Source organism: Homo sapiens, chromosome 3 (genome assembly GCF_000001405.40).
Source record: "Homo sapiens chromosome 3, GRCh38.p14 Primary Assembly".
In the NCBI taxonomy this organism is placed as follows: Eukaryota; Metazoa; Chordata; class Mammalia; order Primates; family Hominidae; genus Homo; species Homo sapiens.
Window position 1 is genome coordinate 37,855,468 of NC_000003.12, and position 22,391 is coordinate 37,877,858.

Sequence of the window (22,391 nt, forward strand, 5' to 3'; positions counted from 1 at the left end):
ACTCTGACTGTGGTGTACACTGAGGAACTGGCAGGGAGAGAGGCCTTCCACATTCAGCTGGGCTCAGGAAAAGGACCACACAACATTGTGGCCACCAGGGGGCGGGCTGCACCTGCTGGACCACTGACCCGTTTGAAAGCCTTATTCTTGGGAGTGAAGTGTCTTTAGATGGGAAGGATGCTGTCCCCAGGTCCCACCTGGGGACAAGTAGAGAACATCCCTGGGGACAAGGGTAGAGGTAGAAGATGGCTAGGAAGCCAGGTGTCAGTGGACATAGACATTTGATTGGAAGAATCCATGTGTGATGGGGGAGAGTGGGTCTTGGTAAGAAAGGATCAGGATGTTGAGGAAGCATGGGAGTTATGGGTGTTGAAGGCAGAAGGATGAGCTTCTGGGGATCCCTTAGGGATGGTGTCCTGGAACAAGCTGAGTGGGGAATACAGGGTGTCTTGAGGTGTAAGGATGTCCTCTGCCTTTCCTAACACCTTGATCATCCCGGTTATGGGGAAAAGTAGTAGCTGGAGGTCACATCCTTCCCCTAGAGATCTCTATCTCCTTGCTTCAGATGCTACTCGCAGGCCACTCCAGCCCAGGCATGTAACTGTGATTTGATTACATGAGCCAGTAGAGCCCCCACTGTTGCTTAAGCTGGTCTGAGTTTTGACTTTAACCTTCAGATCTTAACTAGTTTCTGAACTGGTGCCTGTTCCTTGCTCAAGAGGTCTCAGTGGCTCCAGATTACCCTTAGGTTAAATTCCAAACTCAACCTGGTCTTCAGGACCTCCACCTCTTCCTCCGTCATTATGTCCTACTTCTCCTCAAATACAGCCTTCTCTGTGGAGATTGTAGATGAAAAAGTCCGCTCATCCAGGAACTGAAGGCTCTGGAAATGACACTGTTAGCATCATCACCTCTGTGGGGACTCCCTGGAGAATAAATCAGTTCTACTCTGTGCCACCCTCTGATTGCTCTTCTGCCTCCTCCATTAGGCTGTGAGCCCCTTAAGGGTATTTTGTCCACTGCATGTGGCCCTAGCCTGGCACAATAAGGGCATCCGATACATACTTGGTGTGGGAGTGGTTTGGCCTGCCTAGGCTAGCACAGGGCTCTTTGGAACTGATTTCAGACTCTGGGCCTGGTTCCCAGTAGGAGAGAAGGGCTGCTGCCTGGAGGAACCTCATCTAGGTCCCAAGGTGACCCCAGGAGAGAGACCTGTGGGTGGGCTCAGGTTCATTTCCACTTTACTAATCACCACGAATCTCTGCCCAAATCCAACTTCCACTTCTTTTCCAATAGGACACTTACCACCCTCAGGCCCAGCTCCTGAAAGAAAGGGCTGGGAAGACTGAGCTAGAGACATGTGAAGCTAGACTCAGAAAGAGACAGAGACATAGAAAAATACCTGAGACAGAGAGCGAGAGACAGAGTCTGAGTAACAGACACACAAAACTTGAGACTGAGATGCCCACAAAGAGGAGAAAAAGCAGACCAAGAAACAGTGCCCGCCAGGAGAGATTCAAAGGTGGCGAGCAGGGCAGGGGCAGGCTGCGAATGATGGAGGCAGAGAGCATTGCAAAGGGCCCTCAACTTTGTCTGGGCCCACAAGCCAGAAACTTGGAGGCCATTTCCTCCTTGCTCATCCCTCACTCCTCAAGCCCAAGCAGTAGGCAAGACTTGTCCAACCTCCTTCCAAAATGTATCTGGAATCTGTCTAGCCCCCTTAATCCTCACAACTACCATCATCCTCTTTCTGTATTAATGCAATATCTTCTGTAGGTCTCCCTGCCTCTTGCACTACCTCAGCAGAAATATTCTAAACACATATCTGATTATGTCATTCCCACAGCCCCCCAAATAAAGCCCAGATGCTTTTCCTGCTTTACAAGGCTTTGCTTGATCTGAGAGCTACCCAGCACCAGTGTCCAAAATCCCAGCCATTGCAGACCTTTCCAGAGCATGTTCTGTCCCTCGCCTCTAGGCCTGGAACATGCTGCTGCTCCTTCTAGCTGAACACCCATCTGTGATGTCCACCCCCAGTTCCCCTTTCCTCAAATCACCATCTCATTTTGATCTCAATGCCCAATGTTCCTTCCTCAGGGGCAGCCTCTTTCTGGCCTCACTCCTCACGCTTGCACTCACAGAGCAGTGTCACCCCTATGTGTCACCTGAGTCCAACTCCAACCACTCCCTCTTGGAGCTCTACCAGAGACTCCAGGCTAGGGTGCCCTGGGCAATTTCTTCCATCTTCCTATCTGCTCCTGTCCTTGGTCCCTTGGGGCTGGGTTCGTCAGCCCTAGCCTCATGTCCCCCTACCCTTGGTATCCCAATCTTTACCCCCTACTCTGTGTAGCACCTTCATTCTAAGGTCATGGTCCTTTCTACATGTCTCATTTGTATGTTTTTTAAAAAAATCTAGGCTGTGCGTGGTGGGTCACACCTGTAATCCCAGCACTTTGGGAGGCAGAGGTGGGTGGATCACTTGATGTCAAGAGTTTGAGACCAGCCTGGCCAACATGGTGAAACAGCATCTCTACTAAAAATACAAAAATTAGCCAAGTGTGGTGGTGTGTGCCTGTAATCCCAGCTACTCAGGAGGCTGAGGCAGGAGAATCCCTTGAACCCAGGAGGTGGGGATTGCAGTGAGCCGAGATTGCGCCACTGCACTCCAGCCTGGGCAACAGGGGAAGATTCCATCTCAAAAAACAAACGAACAAACAAACAAACAAAAAACTCAAAACCTAATCTATTAGTTTCCTATTAAAAGAATTATATGTAAATAAAAATTAAAGAAAAATATTAAACCTGTTCTTGTACAGGTGGTACAAGGACACTGTATGATGGGAATTTGGGAAACGTAACTTCAACCAACACTTTGGTGCTCTGTCTAGGTCCCCTTGGGCCCCTTTCACTGTTTCTGGACATCCCCCACTGGGGCTTGATGTGCTCTGGCTTCCCATGGCTGGCACCTGTCCTCAGGTCAGTGGGGCTGCTTTGCTCCTATTCCCAGAGAGCCCCAGAGTGCCCAGGGGCTTAAGGCCCCCAGGGACAGCCTTTGGCTATGACTGACTGACTTGTGTGAGAGTATGATAGCTCAACTCCCTACTTGTCATTTTAGATAACTCTGAGATCCCCAGTGTCTAGAGCAGAACCTTGCATATAGAATATGCACTCAATAAATGTTTGTTGAATGAATATAGCCAAATTTATCAGTCTTATCCTGGCAATTTCTTAAGTTTTTGTCACTCTCAGGCCTTTCCCATCCAAGATCAAAAAGCACTTACCCATTTGTTCTGGTTTATGTTAATTTTTTATATTTAATTATTCAGTCTATCTTGAATGTGCTGTAAGGACTGGGATAAAGATATATTTTTTCCTCATGGATAGGTACTTGTCCCAACAATTTTTGAATCTTTCTTTCATGTGTAAAACCAAAATACTGTGTTATCTAAGACTGTTTCAGTAAGGTATTATGCAATCACTTATAATAGTAGTAACAGCAATTATGTCACCACATAAGAAAATGCTAACCTTATAATTTTAAACATGGCTTTTTTATAGCTACATAAAATTATGTCAGCATATAGGCAAGGACAGGGAGAAATGGAGGAAATTAGAGATGGACTAAGGGATGGTGATAGGGCTATAGGTGATACTTTTCTTTGATTCTATTAATATTGATAAAATAATAAATCAAAGAGCATAACTGAGGGGAACAAGGACTTAAAAGATAGCAAGTTGTTTTCTTGCTTGAGCCTGAAAGACTTGGGCGAAGGTAAGGGTTTTTTTTTTTTCAAGGTGATCTCAGGAACCTGAGGATGGTGGGGGATGCAGGTAAAGGAAAATTGTTACTGGAGGGTCCTGGGGAGTCATTGCTACAAAAGAGGCCAAACAAGAAAGACTCTATATATGAAAATGACTTCCTCCAGCCCTGTACCACTGAGCTCTGAGCTTCCCAGCCTTCATTAAGTGAAAAGAAGCTCTGGAAGTACTCCCACCTCCCAAATAAGGGATCCAGCCCTCAAGCATGTTAATCAGTGACTCCAAATGTTTCCATCACTTTGCCCTCGCTGATGGACTATTTGGGATGCTTCATCGACCAGGCAGCAGAGATGCTAATCTTTGTGGTTATGACCAAAAACTGTAGAACCATATCCCCAGGCCCTCCCCACTCAGCAATCTCTGGAAGATCCTTCTCTGACCCCTTAGAATTCAGAAGTCTTTTTCTTTTTTATTTTTCTTATTTTAGAAAATTGATTTCACCAGGTCCCAGGTCAGCCACACCCTCATAACAAATGTGAAGAGCATTAGAAGTTAGAACAAGGGAAATGCTAGCTGCCATGGGGCCCTAATGTGGTCTGTATTAGGGAGTATTGGGAGTCCGTCCCAGTATTGTGGTCTGTATTGGGAGGATTAAGAAGGGCATGCCCTGGAGCCTGGGCTATTACACTAGGGCTTGCCTTCCTGACTAAAAGGGCACTTCTTCAACTATCATGGATCTACCCCATGAGGTGATTCACTGGGGTCCCAAAGGTGCCCTTGGAAAAGCAGCTACTCACACGTGAGCACGCCCCAAGGGCAACTGGCACCTGGTCCCGCCCACACACACAGAGCCAGAATGCCAGTGGAGGTCCTGGATTTGGAGCAGAACGCCCACCTCTTGCCTACCAACTACCTTTTACAGCAGCTCCCCTGGAGTGCCTTTCCACCTGCCTCGGCCGCAGAAGCCCTGTCCCAGGACTGTCTCCCACACCTGGACCCTCATGGGGCTCCTACAGGTACAGAGACCACCGATGTCTGCGGGCTGACCACAGGCCAAAGGCTCTTCCGGAAGTGTCCTTTAATACTTTGGAGAGGCTCGCCGGTTCCCCCGGTGAGCACGGGACCTGACTGCATCAGCTCCAGGATCCAGGAGATGTGGGGAAGTGAGAAAGATCCTGTTTGGCCTCGCCTGCTGGAAGCCACAGAAGAGCTGGACATGCCCGCAAGGCCTGAAGTGCGCGCGCAACCTAGCAGGCGGAGGCAAGCAGCTCTTCGCCTCAGGCCGCCCACTGAACCCTGCCCACCGACGTCGCGCCCTGTAGGCCCTCCCAGGCCCTCCTGATTCGTGGAGAGCGCGCGCGAGCGCTCCTGCCCCACCCCCGAGCCCGCCCTCCTGCGGCACTACCCCGCCCCCCCGGCTTACGGGGCTGCAGAGTGTGGCCTGCAAGTTGGAAGCGCAGGACGCGGGCGTCCAAAGGCCCCGACGCTCCCAGGCTGAGGAGGCACTTTGTCGTCTCTCCCACGCTCTGGCCGTCGTCCTAGGCCTGACAGTGGCCAGCTGCCTTGCACAAGCACAGTCCCTGCCAGACTTGGTCTGCCACCAGCGCCTTCCGCTCTTCTGCCCTCGACGGACTCCCCCGGTCCCCTTGCTGCACAGCACCCGAAAATGCCCACTGCCCAGGCCCCTCTCAGTCACGACACCCTCACGTGCAGGAGGTTGGTCCTTCAGGACCCGCCGCCCCTCACGCGGGCTCTGGGGCCGAATGCTGACGCGAGTCCCGCCAGCATCCGAACAACCTGAGCCTCTGGCCCGGTCCGCAGACTCCCTCTCTGCACAGATCACTCCCGATCCCGCTCACTCCTGGGACCCCTCAAGCTGGGGAGCGCAGCCCTGGGCCTCTCCGAACCTTCCCCACGCTCCCCGGTCTCCATCACAGCAGCGCCGCGCCCGGGCCCCTCTGCGGGCCGTCTGGGTGTCACTACCGCTCCTGGGCAGCCCCCACTTCTGCACACCGCTTCCCTCCGCACTCACGTCCCAGGCCCCTCGGTTCCCTCGCCTGGACGCCCCTCGCCCAGCACCTTCCCGAGACACCCTCACAGCACCTCCGCCAGCACTTCCCGCGCCTCCTCGCGGTAAATATCCCTCCTCGGGCCCCCTTCCTCGCTCCTGCCTCCATGCCATGCCCCCTCGGCCCCCGGGCTCCCACACTGCACCCTTCCGAATCCTTCCAGTGCCCCCCACGGGCCCCCGCGAATCCCCCCGCTCCCCTCACCCCACCCATCTGCCTCAGACTCCTCCCCACATCTCTCACACCCCAGGCCTCTCACCTCACTCATTCTGCCAGGCCCCCCTGACACCCCTCACTTCTAACCCCCCGAGCCCCTCTGCCGTCCGCTACACCCCGAGCCCCTCACCCCACTCAACTGCCCCGGGCCCCCGCGCGCGCGGCCGCCCCCTCCCGCCCTCCACTCACCCTGTGTCGGCCCCGCTCCCCTCTCCCCCACCAGGCGAGCAGGCGAGCGGGCAGAGCCCGCGGCGGAGGCCGGTCCCCGGGCCGGGACACACCCACCCGCCCGCCCTTCTTCTTTCCCTCCCTTCCTTTCTCCTTCCCTCCCTCTCTCCCGCCCTCCCGCCCTCCCGCCCTCGCTCGCTCCTTCCCCCTCGCCCGCCCGCTCCCGCTTCCAGCGGCGCCGGGCCTCCCGCTCCGCCTCCCCGTGCGCGGCTCTCCCGGGCGCGGCTCCGGGGTTCATGGTGACGAGGCGGCGGCCGCTCGAGCCCAGCGGCGGCGGCGGCGGGAGCTGGGGCGCGGGCCCGGGCCGCCTCTCCCAGAGCGCGGGGCCGGGCGGCGGGCGCGCCCAGGCAGCGGCTGCGAGCGCCCCCCCGCGCCGCGCCCCCGCGCCCCCCGCGCCGCGCCCCCGCGCGCTTGGCTTGCGGGGGGCCGGGCCTGCGGGCGGCCGCCGCGCCGCGCACCCATGGACGGCCCGGCCATCATCACCCAGGTGACCAACCCCAAGGAGGACGAGGGCCGGTTGCCGGGCGCGGGCGAGAAAGGTGAGGAGGGGCGCAGGCGGCCGCGGGCTGGGGGCGAGCGCACACCCCGCGCCGCTGGAGTTCACTGCCGGGCGCCGGCATGGGCCTGGGGGAGGGGTGCACAGGGCCCGGAGGGTGCGTGGGTGTGGGGTGCGCCCGGAGGAGAGCGAGGCTGCCAGAGTGCGTGTGCCGACTGAGCCAGTGTGAGTGTGCAGGGGCTGGCGGAGAGACTGGGAGCGAGTGTGTGTGCATCTAACCGGGAGGTTGTGAGTTTGTGTGCGCGCACGCCCGCAGAGAAGTTGTGAGCCTGTGTGTGCACCTAACACAGAGGTTCTAAGTGTGTGCACTTGTATGTGTGTGTGCACACGCGGACAGAGTGATTGTAAGGATATGTGTGCACCTCACAGAGAGGTTGTGAGATTGTAAGGGTTTGCGCACCTAACGGAGATGTTGTGAGTGCTTTTTTTCCTGACAGGCTGTGAGTTTGTGTTGTGTGTATTAGAGGTTTGTATGGGCCTGACTGAGGGGTTGTGGAATGTGTGTGCGTGAGCATGAGCCTGGAGAGGTTCTATGCCTGTTCACTCCTGACAGAGTTTGTGAGTGTGTATGATTGTGTGACTACACCACCCAACTGGCGGATTGAATGTGTTGTATACATCTACTGGGAGGGCGTGTGTGTGTGTAAATTGTATACAATGAGGCTGTGTGCATCAGTGCACCTAACCACGAACCTGTGTGTACAGATGTGTGTGCCTTCCTGTGTATCAGACAATGAGGCCATGTGTCTGGGTGTGTTTAGTTGGTTGTGCAAGTGCTGGAGTCTGGGGGGGAGAAGAGGCAGTTCGGAGCCATCCCCGCTTTCTCCCTTCTCCACTCTTTGCTGTCTCCGGGCCACCAGCATGTTGGGAGGACTTACAAGGCCTGGCCCTTCCAGGGCCCTTTTAGGACCCAGCTTTAAAGGGCACTTGTGGATCCCTTATAGTGCCAGGAGTGTCCCCTCCCAGAGAGCTGGCCAAGGGCTCAGCCAGCACTGTGCTTCTGTGCCTGATTTGATTTTGGCACATTTTGACCCCAGCCCCCCATTCTGTTTCCTTTTTGTCCTTTCTCTTGGTGTCTGTGTTCCCACTTAGAGACTTGGCGTGTCCCCCTCTCTTGCATGCCTGGAACTTTCTGTGCCTCTAGTGTGTTGGGACTTGGACAGACTGTTTTGAAGGGTCAAGGAATCTGGCTTCTTTTGTTCTGGTGACTAAAGCTTGCCTCATTCTCTTCCTGTCCTGCGCCTCGTGAACACCTGGACTGAGGTCAGGTGCAGCCCACCAGGACCCCTGACCCCTCTCCAGGCCGGAGCTGGCCACAGCCGGCTTTGGGGATGAGTCAGATTTCTTTCTAGGGGCTCCCACCTTTGCTGTGCCAGTGGGTGAGGTGTGCAGCCCCTGCTAGAAATCTGCGTGGGAGTGAGGGGAATATTCTGCCTCTCCTCAGGCAGAGGCCACTGGGCAAGCCCGTCAGAAAAACGGAAGGAACCAGCAGGTACCCTCAGGTTGGGCATTTGTCAACCTGTTTGCAGTTTCGTAGACCACAAACATTGTATGTGTCTGCAGACTGGATTTCTTTTATGTAAAATAAAGAATTCAAACTCTCTCAGGCATTTTTCTGTGCCTTTCAGATGGTCTAAAAAATTCTGCAAGAGAGTGCTCCAGGTAAATCCCCGTATTTCTCTGGGACCCAAGTGGGCAGCTGCTTGGTGATCTGGACTTCCTGCCATAGGGGCTGTTAGTTCTTGGAGCCCTGGCTGGGTGTGTGCCCTCAGGGAGCGTTTGGTTGGAGGCATCAAGGAGGTTTGCTTCCTGTGCTCCTTACCAGCTGTGGATTGAGTGCTTTGTGTGATGCTTTGCCAGAGAGAATCCACAGCTCTTTGAGGAGAGGTGTGGCACAAAGCAGGGAAATATTTGTCAGAGCCTCAGACCTCCTGCTGCCCCCCACCTGACTCCAGGAGCAGGAGCAGGAGCTCTGCCAACTTTCCCTTTTCCTCTAGGTGCTAGGATTTTTAAAACAAAGAATCAATCTATCCAAAATCCAAACCATGTACAAATACTCCAGGATAGTGCTTGTTCTATTCAACTTGTTTACATTACTTTTCATGACAATCTTTTATTATCTTTAGCAGCCTATTTTGTTTGCCAGTGTCAGATTGGTTGTTTGTTAACCGATTAGAGGAATTCTTTACCTGCAGCCCTGGGGTGGGGTGGTTGGCTAGTAGGTCCTTCTTGCTGAAGCATTGAAATCCTACTCAATTTAGTTCTTCACTTTAAAAAATGGAAATAATTTTGGTTACCTATAATGTCGCAATAAACTCTAGAGTCAAATGTTGGAATAATTTCTTCAGATTTATAAACCAGTAAACCGGTTCAGCAATGTTTCTAGCTTAAGCATGTTGATATCTTCAGATGGGCACATAAAATTATGTAAAATACATTTTTACATAATTTTACATTATGTAAAAATGTATTTTACATAATTTTATTTTGAGATAATTATTTTGTTTTAAAAATATTGGGCCTGGAATATTTTAAATATTTAAGTTTTATAATAGGGAAGAAACTATTGCTTTTACATGTTTACTTTCATCATTTATTCTGTAAAATAGGAATAGTAATGACTACCTCTGGGGTGTGACCTGAGGGTTCAAAGAGATGATGTACATTAAAGACTCTGCCTGGTTCACCACTGTGTCATGATTCCATAAATCTTTCTTTAGATACAGATTTACAAAGGAAGTACTAAGCATGGGCTGTGGTGTTTTGCACCAAGTTGAATTACTTCTTGACACATTGCCACGTGGTGGTGCACAACTCAGAGATGACTGTCACTGTCAGCCTGGCCTGTCACAGAATGCTCATATCTTACAGTTGTGTTTGATTTGGTTGATAATGTCAAGATAAAGAGACAAATTTCCCTGTAAGTTTAACTCAGCCTACTTTGCAATCTGGAAATTTCCTCTTACACATTAATAGGAAAATGTCCAACAGTACAGTAGAAAAGTGGACAAGAGTTAGGAACAAGAAAGTCGTAGAGGAAGAAATCTGAATGGCCAATAAATATATGAAATTGTGCTCTACTTCATGTGAAACCTTTTCATGCATCAGCTTGGTTAAACATTTAAATGACTGCCAATGTTCAAAGTAGACAAAGGTTTGGAAAATGACTTAATAGACTTTTGTGAGAGAATAAAGTGAGTACAGAGTTTTTAGAGAGTAATTTAATACTGAATCAATTAGGAACACATTTGGCTGCAAGTAACAGAAAACCAGATTTACTGCAGCTTAAACCAATAGGAGTTTATTCTTCCCACATAATAAGCTGTCTGAGGTAGGCTGCTGATAGCTTTTTCAGCAACTCATTGATACCAGGGCCAACATCATAGTGATTCTCCTGGTTTTCCCTCATGTTATAGCATGGCTGCCACCCTTCCAAACACCACAGCCACCTTTAGGGCTGGAAAAAGAGTGCCAGTCTTGTGTATTCCTTTTACCTGGAAAGCAGAAACGCAAAAACATTCCTAGGGACCACCCAGAAAACTTTGCTGATGTTTAATTGGCCAGAACCAGGCCACATGGCTACCCCTTGCTGCAAACAGAGTGAGGAAAGTGAGTTTCCAGCTTTTAAACCAGCCTTTGCTGTGGGAGGCAGGAGGGGAGAAGATTGAAAATAGGTGGGAACAGGTATTGGTTCAGCCAAACAGCAGTATTGACCACACATTGAAAGCTCCTGTTCTACTTCTGAGTTTCTGTTCTAGAGAAATAACCTCATTTGTGCTCAAAGAAACATGTACAAGGATTTTCACTTAATGGCTACATTGCTTGCAATAGCAAGTATTAGAACCATCCTAAGTGTCAGTAGGTGAATGGTTAGGCTATGATACATCATTAGCAGAATACTGTGAGGCAGTTGAAAAGAATGAGCTAAATTAAATCTAAACATACAGATAGGTGAATTTTCAAGACATTTTAAAGCAGGAAAAATTTTGAAGAACAGTATAAACAGTATGGTTCCTACCTTTGTAAAAAAAAAATCACACATACACACAACTGTATATTTGTTTAGAAATACAGAAAAAGTAATATGGAAGGAAATAAGCTGACAACAAATATTCCTCTGGGAGAAGACTGGACAACAAAGATTCCTCTAGGGAGAGGAAACTTTGCCTTTTGTTTAAATATTAATGAAATATACTCATTTTACAGATGAAATTTTTTAACTAAAAAAAGAAATTTCCCATAGCTCTTTGAAGGGAAAGAAATAATTTGAGGGAATTGAACAATAATAAAACCAAAAAAATCTCAATTAGTATGCAGTATTAGCAAGAACATATCAATGACATCTAAACAGTTAATTATTTTGTAAGCTAATATGTGTCCTTGATGAGATTTCTGCAGGAAAATTTGTTTGGGCAGATATTTTTGCCTAAGGTGCTAGGTGTGTTTCCTTTAAATGTTTGTAATACTCAGTGTTAATTCAGAAACTTTAAGCTTTGGGCTGCTAACAAAATTATAGCAAAGAGAAGACTTTTGGAAGCAATAATTATTTCAGATGACAGAAGCAGATTTATAGTAGATTCAGACTAACTTTTTTATATTAAACTTTTTATTTGGAGATAACTGTAAATTTACATGCAGTTTTAAGAAGTCACAGAGACTTTCTATGCCCTCTACCCGGTTTCTCTTATTACTGACATCTTGTAAAACTGTATAGTATCACATCAGGATGTTGACATTGATATAGTCAAGGTATAGAAAAATTTCATCATCAGGAGGATCCCTCCTGTTGCCCTTCAGAGTCACACTGCTTCCCTCCCATGCCCACCCTGCTCCATATCCCACTGGTGACCACTAATCCACTCTACATTTCTAAAATTTTATCTTTTTAGGAACATTATCTAAATGGAATCAAACAGTATGTGATCTTTTGGAATTGCTTTTTTTCACTCAACATAATTATCTGGAGATTCATCCAGGTTGTTCCTTGTATTAATCTTTTTTTTTAAATTGCTCAATTGTATTCCATGACATGGATATACCACAGTTTGTTTAACCATTCACGCTTTGAATGATCTGTACATTGTTTCTAGATGTTGAGTATTATGAATAAAGCTGCAATAAACATTGGTATACATGTTTTTGTTTGAACCTAAGTCTTCATATCTCTGGGATAAATGCCCAGTGTGCAATTGCTGGATCATATGGTAGTTGCATGTTTACTTTTTAAAGAAACTGCCAAACTGTTTTCTTGAGTAAATGTAGCATTTTACATACCCACCAGCAATGTATAAGTGATCCAGTTTCTCTGCATCCTCACCAGCATTTGGTGTTGTCACTGTTTTTAAAAATTTTTATTTTGAAATAATTATAGACTCGAAAGAAGTTGCAAAAATAATACAGAGAGGTCCCATGTACCCATCACCTAGTGTCCCCTAACGCTAACGTCTTATATAATTGTATATTTCATTATCAAAACCAGGAAATTGACATTGGCAAATACAGTTGTTTAGACTACAGACCTTACTCACATTTCACCAGTTTTTGCATGAATTCATTTTTTGTAGCTTTATGCATCTTTAACACATTTATGTTTGTATAGCCACCATCACAAGCTACAGAACTCGTTTGTCACCACAAAGGAACTCCTTTGAGTTACCTTTTTCATTTCTTTTTTAAAAACTGATATATAATATTTGTACATTTTTCTGAGGTACATATGATATTTTATATGCATAGAATAGTGTAATGATCAAGTCAGGGTATTTAGGGTATCCATCACCTTGAGTAATTATCACTTCACTATTTTTCATATTAGCCATTCTGATATGTGGTGGTAGCTTATTACGGTTTTAATTTGCATTTCCCTGATGGCTAATGATGTTGAACATCTTTTCATGTGCTTATTTTTCTTCTATATATCTTCTTTGATGAGCTGTCCCTTCATGTCTTTTGCCCATGTTCTAATTGGATTTTTTTAAACCGTCAAGTTTTGAGAATTTTTATATATTATAGATATTAGTCCTTTTTCAGATATGTGGTTTGCAAGTATTTCTTCTAGCCTATAGCTTGGCTTTTCATCCTCTAAAGAGCCTTTTTCAGAGCAAAAGTTTTAAATTTTGATAAGGTGCAATATATAAATATTTCCTTTTATTGATTGTGCTTTTGGTGTCAAATCTAAGAACTCTCTGCCTAGCACTAGATCCCGAAGGTTTTCTCCTACGCTTTTTCCAAGTTTTATAATTTTACATTAAATTTAAGTTCATGATCCATTCTGAGTCCATTTTTTAATAAGGCGTGAAACTTTGGTTTGGTTTTTTGTCTCTGAGTGTCTGGTTGCTTCAGCTACATTTGTTGAAAAAGTTATCTGTCCTTCCTCCTTTGAATTTCTTTTGCATCTTTGTCAAAAATTAGTTGGGCATATTTATGTGGGTCTGTTTCTGGGTTTATTTATTTTGTCCCACTGATCTATATGTCCATCCCCCTGCCTATACTATATAATCTTGATTTCTGTAGCTAAATAATAAGTCATGATATAGAGTAGACTGATGCTTCCAACTTTTGTTCTTTTTCAAAATTGTTTTAGCTGTTCTAGTTTTGTTGCCACATTATGTAAATTTTACAATACTCTTGTCTATATCTACAAATATCTTCCTGAGATTTTGATAGGAATTTAATTAAACCTGTGTATCAATTTGAGGAGAACTGACATCTTTTCTAGATTAAGTCTTCCAATCCATGAACACAGTACGTCTCTCTATTTATTTAGATCTTTGATTCTGCCATTAGGCTTTCAGCATACAAGTCCTATTAATATTTTATTAGATTTACATCTGAGTGTTCTTTTTAAACTATACATATTTTAATTGATACATCATAGTTTTACATATTTATAGGGTATATAATCATATAAACACATTGCGTAGTGATCAGATCAAGGTAATTAGCATATCCATCATCTCAAACATTTATCATTTCTTTGTGTTGGGCGCATTTATTATCCTCCTTTTAGTTATTTAAAACTATATAGTATTGTTGCCCATAGTTATCCTACAATGCTGTAGAGTGTTTATTTTTTAAGCGACTATCAATTGTATTTATTTTTTATTTTGGTGCCCACGTGTTCAGTGCTAACATGCAGACATACAAAAGATTTTTGAATACTTATCTTGTATCCTATGACCTTGCTGAGCTCACTTATTAGTTGTAAGAGGCTTTTTATAGATTCCCTGAAGTCCTTCACATAGACAAACGTGTCATCAAATAAGAACACTTACATGTCTTCATTTCTGACTTGTATGCCTTTTATTTCTTTTTCTTGCTTTATTGCACTGACTAGAACTTTAGCAGTATGTCGAACAAGAGTAGTGAGAATGGACATCCTTGTCTTGGTCCCAGTCTTAGGGGGAAACCATTCAGTATTTTATCATTAGTATAATGTCAGCTGTAGGTTTTTTAATAGAAGTCTTTAACAGGTTGAGGAAGTAACCTTCTAATTCAATTTTTCTGAGAGTTTTTAATCAAGAATGAATGTTAACTTTTGTCTTATGCTTTTTCTGCAACAATTAGTCTAATCATGTGATTTTTCTCCTTTAGTCTGTTAATGCGATAGATTAAACTGATTTTTGAATATTGAACCAGACTTGCGTCCATGGAATGAACCTTACTTGGTTGTGGTGTATAATTCTTTCTATATATTGATGAATTCTATTTGCTAATATTTTGTTAAGGATTTTTTTGTCTGTAAGTGATGTTGGTCTGCAGTTTTCTTTTTTTGTGTTGTCTTTATCTGGTTTGGTATCAGTGTTACCTCTCTTTTGTATTCTGGAAGAGATTGTGTAGAATTGGTGTGAATTTTCCAGTGAAATCATCTGGGCCTGGACGTTTTTTCGGAGGGATGGGGGTTGGGGGGAATTTTTAAACTACAGATTGAATTTTCTTAATAGTTATAGAGCTATTTAAATTATCTCTTTCAGATTGGGCAACTTGGGTAGTTTTTTGTTTTTCTGAGATTTGAGTCATTTCATCTAAGTTGTCAAATTTGTGTGTATAGAGCTATTCATAGCATTTTTCCCTTATTACCTTTTTGATGCCTGCAGAATCTGTAGTGTTATGCCCTGTTTCATTCCTGATGTTGACAATGTGTGTCCTCCATCTTATTTTTTGTGTGTCAATCTTGCTTGAGGTTTCTCAATTTTCTTATTCTTTACAAATAACCAGTTCTTTGTTGCATTGATTTTTAAAATTGCTTCTGTTTTCAACTTTGTTGATTTCTGTTCTTATCTTTATTTCCTTACTTCCGCTTTATTTGGGTTTATTTTGCTCTTCTTTTTCTAGGTTCTTGAAGGGGCACTTAGATGAATGATTTGAGGCTTTCTCCCTTTCCTAATTTATGCATTTAGTGCTACAAGTTTCTCTCTCAACACTACCTTAGCTGTGTCCCACGAATTTTGATATTTTGCAATTTTGGTTTTCATTCAGTTCAATACTTTTTAAAAATATACTTTATTTTTAAAAGCAGTTTTAGGTTCTCAGCCATATTGAGCAGAAAGCACAGAGAATTTCCATATATTCCCTGACTGCACAGATGCATAGCTCCCCATACTATCAACATCCCACACCAGAGTGGCCCATTTATTACAATTGATAAACCTGTGTTGACATGTCATTATCACCCAAGGTCCAAGAACATAAGGGTTCACTCCTGGGGTTTTATATTCTATGAGTTTGTACAAATGTATAATTACATATACCTACCATTATAGTATTATACAGAATAATTTCATTGCCCTAAACATCCTCTGTGCTCCACTTATTCATCTCTCTCTCCCCTGCCCAATCCCTGGCAACCACTGATCTTTTTACTGTCACCATAGATTTGCCTTTTCTAGAACGTCATATACTTGGAATCATATAGTATGTAGCCATTTCAGATTTGCTTCCTTCACTTAGTAATATGCATTTTCATTTCCTCCATGTCTTTTCATGGCTTGTTAACTTATTTCTTTTTAATACTGATTAATATTTCATAGTCTGTATGTACCACAGTTTATCCATTCACCTACTGAAGGGCATGTTGGTTGCTTCCAAGTTTTAGCCCTTATGAATAAAGCTACTATAAACATATGTGTGCAGGTCTTTGTGTAGATTTAAGTTTTCAGCTCTTTAGGGTAAATACCAAGGAACATGATTGCTGGTTTGTATGGTAAGAGTATTTTGTTGTTTTGTAAGAAACTGCCAAACTGTGTTCCAAAGTGGCCCTACCATCTTTAGCTTTCAGAAGTTTAGTTATGATATGTCTTGGCATGGATTTCTTTTAGCTTATTCTGTTTGCAGTTCATTCTGCTTCTTGGTTTATGTCTTTGCTAAACTGGGGGAGTTTTCAGGCATTATTTTCTTGAGTACTTTTTCAGCTCTGCTCTTTCTCTTCTCCTTCTGAGACTATGATGACATAAATGTTAGATCTTTTGTTATAGTCCCACAGATTTATCCATACTGAGCTTTTTTGGTTTTCAGTCTTTTCTCCCCTATGTTGTTCAGTTGGGTAATTTCTGTTGTTCTGTCTTCAAATTTGTTGGGTTTTTTTCCTTATTTCTTCTAGTCTGTTATTGAGCACATCCACTGAGATTTTTATCTCAATTATTATATTTTTTAGTTCTAAATTTTCCATTTGGTTTTTCTTTATATCTTCCTCTTCTCTGCTGAGACTATTTCTTTGCTGAGGCTCTGTCTCACCCAGGCTAGAGCGGAGTGCAGTGGTGTGATCATGGCTCACTGCAGCCTCAACCTCATGGACTCAAGTGATCCTCCCATCTCAGCCTCCTGAGTAGCTGCGACTACAGGCACATGTTTTGTTTTGCCTGGCTTAATGTTTTGTATTTTTTGTAGAGTCGGGGGTCAGCCTATGTTACCCAGGCTTTAAACATGCTCCTAATTGTTTGTTGAAGCATTTTTTTAAAAATCATGGCTGCTTTAAAATCTTTATCAGATAAGTGTAGAATCTCTGTCATCCTGGTGTTGGGTTGGCATTTATTGTTTTTTTTCATTCAGTTCGGGAAGTCCTTGTTCTTCGTATAATAAGCAAATTACAATTGAAACCTGGACATTTTTGTATTATGTTATGAGACTCTGGGTCTTATTTAAGCCTTCTGTTTTGGTTGGTTTTCTCTGACATGCCCCCATCAGGAAAGAAGCACTGCCTTGTTAATGTCAGGTGGAGTGGATGTCAAGTCTTCCTACTTAGGCTCTTTTTTTTTTTTTTTTTTTTAAATTCTTTTATCTTTTTTTTTTTTTTTTTTTTTTGAGACTGAGTCACTCTGTTGCCCAGGCTGGAGTGAAGTGGTGCAATCTCAGCTAACTGCAACCTCCACCTCCCAGATTCAAGTGATTCTCCTGCCTAAGCCTCCTGAGTAGCTGGGACTACAAGTGCCTGCCAGCATGCCCAGCTAATTTTTGTATTTTTAGTAGAGGTGGGGTTTCACCACGTTGGCCAGGATGGTCTCGATCTCTTGACCTCCTGATCTGCCCGCCCTGGCCTCCCAAAGTGCTGGGATTATAGGCATGAGCCACCGTGCCCAGCCCCCACTTTGCCTCTTTTGACCTGCTGCTGGGCAGGAAGAGAGTTCGGCTTCTGTGTGGTCTCTACTGTACTGCAATGGGAGTGTTCATTACCACTGGCTGTGAGTGAAAGCCCTGACTTCCTGTGCCTCCTCTGACACCACCTCAATGGGAAGGGGAGCACCTCATTACTGCTGGATAGGAGTAGAAGTCCAAGGTGGCCATGTGGTCTCCACTGACCACTGGGAGAAGAGGGAGCTCATTACCAGCTTTCAGGGATGAGCTTCATATTTGGCCACCTTTAACACCACTCCAGCATGGGTGGTAGGATGCCTCATTACACCCTATGAGGGTGGAATTCTAGGTAGCCATTAGGTTTTCTCTGGCATGAGTAGGTGTGTGGCGGAAGGGATGGGGGTGATATTAGGCTATAGTAGAGCAGTTTTGTCTGAAAGATTTCTGTCTTGCTAGACTGCCCCTTTTCTGGTCCTTTGGTTACAGAGAGTAGGCTTTTATTGGGTCTCTTCGTCTGCAACTGTCGGTTTTCTCCCATAGCCAGCTTCTTTACCTCCAAGTCTAGGGTCTGTCTACCAGGCAAAAAGAAAACCCAGGGAAATCACCACCCTATTGTTCTTTAGGATTCAAGGTCCCTAGCTGATCTGCTTTCTTCTTTCCATCTTTCACAGTCTTTTGATGTTTATTTTATATATAATGTCCAGGATTTTCAGTTGTACTTAGTGGCAAACAGGAAGACGTATGTCTACTCCATCTTCTTGGAGGCAGAAGTCCCCTGATTTTTAGACCTACCCAAATTAAGTATTTTAAGGAAGACTAGAATTAGAAAGTTGTCATTTTAAAGGTTTATTTCAATATTATGCTAATGACTGATGTAAAAGTCAAATTCAGTTAGTGCTTTGAAAATCTTAATTGTCCATTGAAAAGAGAAAAGATAATTCACTGTGAAATCAAGTCTAGATCAGTAGGGCATCAGTGACAACTGTGATTTAAGCAACCTTAATGAGATGCATTCATAAACTTTGGTCTTAATATCAAAATTTTAGCTTCAAGTTCATGAGTGTCCTAACTTAAATGTATTTTAAATCTAATATTCTGTTTGATTAGCAAGCATGTTTAACCTGATAGCTTTCACTTTGTTTCTCAGTTAAGGAAGCATCCATTTAAGTAAACAGAAATGTCTTCTTGGGGCAAACACAAAGGACCTTATATCTGGATTTAGCACTCATGGTGCGTAGACAGGGCTTGCTGGCCAGTGACTAGAAGAGTTTGCTTCCAGTCTGGGCTACCCTGAAAGTAGGTCTTTGGGCTCTAGAAACTTGCCCCAAGCTGTACTTAACTGTAGCATCCCAGGTTGGGGAAGAACCCCGTTTGGCATGGCAGCACTGGGTGTTCAGAAGGGACCACACCACTTCAAGTTTAATTCTGAAGTAAATGGCTTTTTCCCTTTTGGTGATGTTGAGGGTGTGGATTGAGGGGGTACATAAAAGTGCCAGTGGGTTCACCAGGCTGTTCAGCTAGGAGTTGGCCATGGTCAGGAAATGCTCTGGCCATAAATGAGTCTAGATTTAAATACAGACACAAGGCCGGGCGCGGTGGCTCAATGCCTGTAATCCCAGCCCTTTGGGAGGCCAAGGCAGGCAGATCACGAGGTCAAGAGATTGAGACCATCCTGGCCAACATGGTGAAACCCCGTCTCTACTAAAAATACAAAAATGAGCTGGGCGTGGTGGCACGCACTGGTAGTCCCAGCTGCTCGGGAGGCTGAGGCAGGAGAATTGCTTGAATCCGGAAGGCGGAGGTTGCAGTGAGCTGAGACTGCGCCACTGCACTCTAGCCTGGCGACAGAGCGAGACTCTGTCTCAAAAAATAATAATAATAATAATAATAAATAAATACAGACAGACACACGCACACACACAAGTTTCTTCATTTGCTTTGATGGTAACCTATGGTGCCAAGGGAAGCAGCATCTAGCTATTGAAAAAGGGAGTGAAGGGATTCTCTTGGGTAATGTTGAAAGAATTATATGTCTTAGAACTTACTTTGCAGATTTGAAATCTTGACTTACCAGACATTTAAAGTTCAGTATTTTAATGACCTATCTTTCTCTTAAAAATCCACTACCTTTAAATAATTCTTCCCTTTAATTTCTTAACATATATTTTCCTATATTTAAAAAATGGGGATGCATATTCAGTGCTTTATTTGAAATAAAACTAAGCAAATACTTGTCTTTATGGCTCTGAAATAATATCAAATAATGGAGCAAAGTCTCAGGAACTGTTTGTAGCACTGGGTTGGGATGTGGACATTTTTGTATTTGAGATCAGGTCTGGAAACACTGGTGGTATAGTCCTCTGAAACCAGGACCTAATAAGCAGTGGCCTTTCTGGATGCTAGAGATTATGTAATCACCTAAGTAATAGCTCATTTTGATTCTGAGTAACTGCTTCTAGTTAAAAACTGAAAAGCTTTCTTTGTAATTATAATTTATATTAAGGCTATTTGCCAAAATGTTTTAAAATCCTGGTATTTAAAGCACTTTAAAAATTGAAGAGAAGCAGCTTAATATTTGATGACTGATGCTGTTCTTACCTTTCAAAATCAGTATTTAAGCTTTCAGTGTTTCAGGCTGTCTTGAACAGACTGCACTGCCTTGTCAACATGGCTTGAATAAATGTAGCCTTTTAGTACCAATAAGAATTCATACTGTACTTTAAACTGTATGTAATCTTTCTCTCTGTATTCTGATCAAGATTTAGCTCTTATGCTTAGCCTATCACACATTTGTTCTAAGTATCTGGCTCCCTTATGTACAAGTCAGAAACCATTGACTTTAATTCCAAAGACTTCAGTTAGAGTCATATTTTATTTTCTCTTTTTGAGGATATAGCTGAACATATTCATTTTTGTTTTAGTTAGAATTATACATTTCATAGCAATCGTGAAATAAGTATAAAATTTGAGTTGCTATTAATTCTAATGTATGAGCACTTATTGGTAAGCGTTAGTTTTTATACTCTGTAGTAGACCTTGTATCACTACATAGGCCTGTCTTCTGTCCTTGAATTTTTTTAAGTTTAATTTTTTATTGACTGGGTGTGGTGGCTCACACCTGTAATCCCAGCACTTTAGGAGGCTGAGGTGGGAGGATCACTGGGGCCCAGGAGTTAGAGACCAGCCTGGAAAACATAGTGGGACCCCATCTGTACAAAAAATAAAAATAAATTAACAGGGCGTGGTGGTGCACACCTGTGGTCTCACCACTTTAGGAGGATGAGGCGGAGGATTGCTTGAGCCTGGGAGGTGGAGGCTGTAGTGAGCCATCATTGCACAACTGCACTCCAGCCTGAGTGACAGAGCAAGACCGTGTCTCATTAAAAAAAAAATTAAGGTAAATTTGCATACTGTAAAAATTACTCTTTTTCATGTAACCCAGGTTAAAAAGTTTCAAGAGTTTTGGCAAACTCATACAGCTGTATAACCACTACCACAATCAAGATAGAGAGTATTTCCATCACCCCCAAAATATTATCTGTGGTGGTACCATTTTGACTCCCACCAGCAATGTATGATACTTCTAGTTGATGTGCATCCTTGTCAGCACTTGATATTGTCAGTTTTTAAATTTTAGCCATTATAGTGGGTATTTAGTGGTATCTCATCATAGTTTCATTTTGTGTTTCCTAAATCTCTGATGATGCTGAACTTCTTTTTATGTGTTTATTTGCTGTCCAAATAACTTCCTTGGTGAAGTGTTCAAACTGCTGCCATTTTTTAAAAACTGAATTGTTTGAGTGCTTATTATTGTGGGTTTTTAATGTAATTCTGTTTACAAGTACTTTGTTGAATATGTGTTTTGCAAATGTTTTTCCCAGTCTATGGTTTATATTTTTATCGTCTTAGTAATGTCTTTTTTTTTTCAGAAATTCTTATTATGATAAAATACATATAACATTAAATTTAGCAGTGGCTCACACCTGTAATCCCAGCACTTTGGGAGGCTGAGGCGGGTGGATCACGAGGTCAGGAGTTCAAGACCAGCCTGACTAACATGGTGAAACCCCGTCTCTACTAAAAATACAAAAATTAGCCAGGTGTGGTGGTGCACGCCTGTAATCCCAGCTACTCAGGAGGTTGAGGAAGGAGAATCGCTTGAACCCAGGAGGCAAAGGTTGCAGTGAACCGAGATTGCGCCTCTGCACTCCATCCTGGGTGACACAGTGAGACTCTGTCTCAAAAAAAAAAAAAAAAAATTGATCGTCTTAACTACTTTTAAGTATACAATTCATTAGTATTAAGTACATTCATATTGCTGTGCAGCTATCACCACCATCCATCTCCAGAACTCTTTTCATATTGCAAAAACGAAACTATTCATTAAACAATAACTCCCCATTCCCTCCTTGCCCTGACAACCACCATTCTGCTTTCTGTCTCTGTGAATTTGTCTACTCCAGCTGCCTCATATAAGTGGAATCATACAGTATTTTTTTGTGATAGGCTTACTTCACTTAGCATACTGCCCTCAAGGTTCATCCATGTTGTATCATGTGTTAGAATTATCTTCCTTTTTAAGGCTGAATAGTGGTCCATTGTGTATGTATGCCACCTTTGCCTATCCATTCATTGGTTGATGGACACTTGTGTCACTTCCATGTTTTCGTGATTGTGAATTATACTCATATGAACACAGGTGTTTGAGTCTCTGCTTTCAGTTCTTTGGTATATATACAGAAGTAGAATTGCTGGATATGGTCATTCTATTTGTACTGTTTTGAGTAACTTCCTGTATTAGTCTGTTTTGCATTGCTATAAAGAAACACATTTTATTTGGCTTGTGGTTCTGCGGGCAGTACAGGCATGGCACCGACATCTGCTTGGCTTCTGCTGTAGCCTCAGGAAGCTTATAGTCGTGGCAGAAGGCAAAGAGGGACGGCAAGAGAGGAAGCAAGAGAGAGAGCGAGGAGGTCTCAGACTCTCTTTAATAA

General features: G+C 44.0%; 1 protein-coding gene and 1 long non-coding RNA gene across 6 annotated transcripts in view, besides 2 other annotated features; one reads left to right on the plus strand and one right to left on the minus strand.

The window, feature by feature from the left end:
* Positions 1-6,313, minus strand: part of ITGA9-AS1 (ITGA9 antisense RNA 1) — a 108,092-nt gene extending 101,779 nt beyond the window's left edge. For both annotated transcript variants that reach the window (NR_110531.1, NR_110532.1), the window contains exon 1: positions 6,234-6,313. This is a non-coding gene — a long non-coding RNA (ITGA9 antisense RNA 1). The remainder of the gene's footprint in view (positions 1-6,233) is intronic.
* Positions 6,314-6,412: 99 nt separating this feature from the next.
* Positions 6,413-22,391, plus strand: part of CTDSPL (CTD small phosphatase like) — a 122,590-nt gene continuing 106,611 nt past the window's right edge. For all 4 annotated transcript variants that reach the window (NM_001008392.2, NM_001438028.1, NM_005808.3 and 1 more), the window contains exon 1: positions 6,413-6,811. In NM_001008392.2, the coding sequence (NP_001008393.1) occupies positions 6,733-6,811 (79 nt within the window). In that variant the 5' untranslated portion in view covers positions 6,413-6,732. The remainder of the gene's footprint in view (positions 6,812-22,391) is intronic.
* Positions 7,675-8,176: an enhancer, noted in NCBI's record as "H3K4me1 hESC enhancer chr3:37904633-37905134 (GRCh37/hg19 assembly coordinates)". NCBI's record gives its function as "activates a minimal SCP1, AML or CMV promoter by ChIP-STARR-seq in primed H9 embryonic stem cells {active_cell/tissue: H9 hESC(primed)}" and the evidence as "EXISTENCE:reporter gene assay evidence [ECO:0000049][PMID:30033119]".
* Positions 8,177-8,676: an enhancer, noted in NCBI's record as "H3K4me1 hESC enhancer chr3:37905135-37905634 (GRCh37/hg19 assembly coordinates)". NCBI's record gives its function as "activates a minimal SCP1, AML or CMV promoter by ChIP-STARR-seq in primed H9 embryonic stem cells {active_cell/tissue: H9 hESC(primed)}" and the evidence as "EXISTENCE:reporter gene assay evidence [ECO:0000049][PMID:30033119]".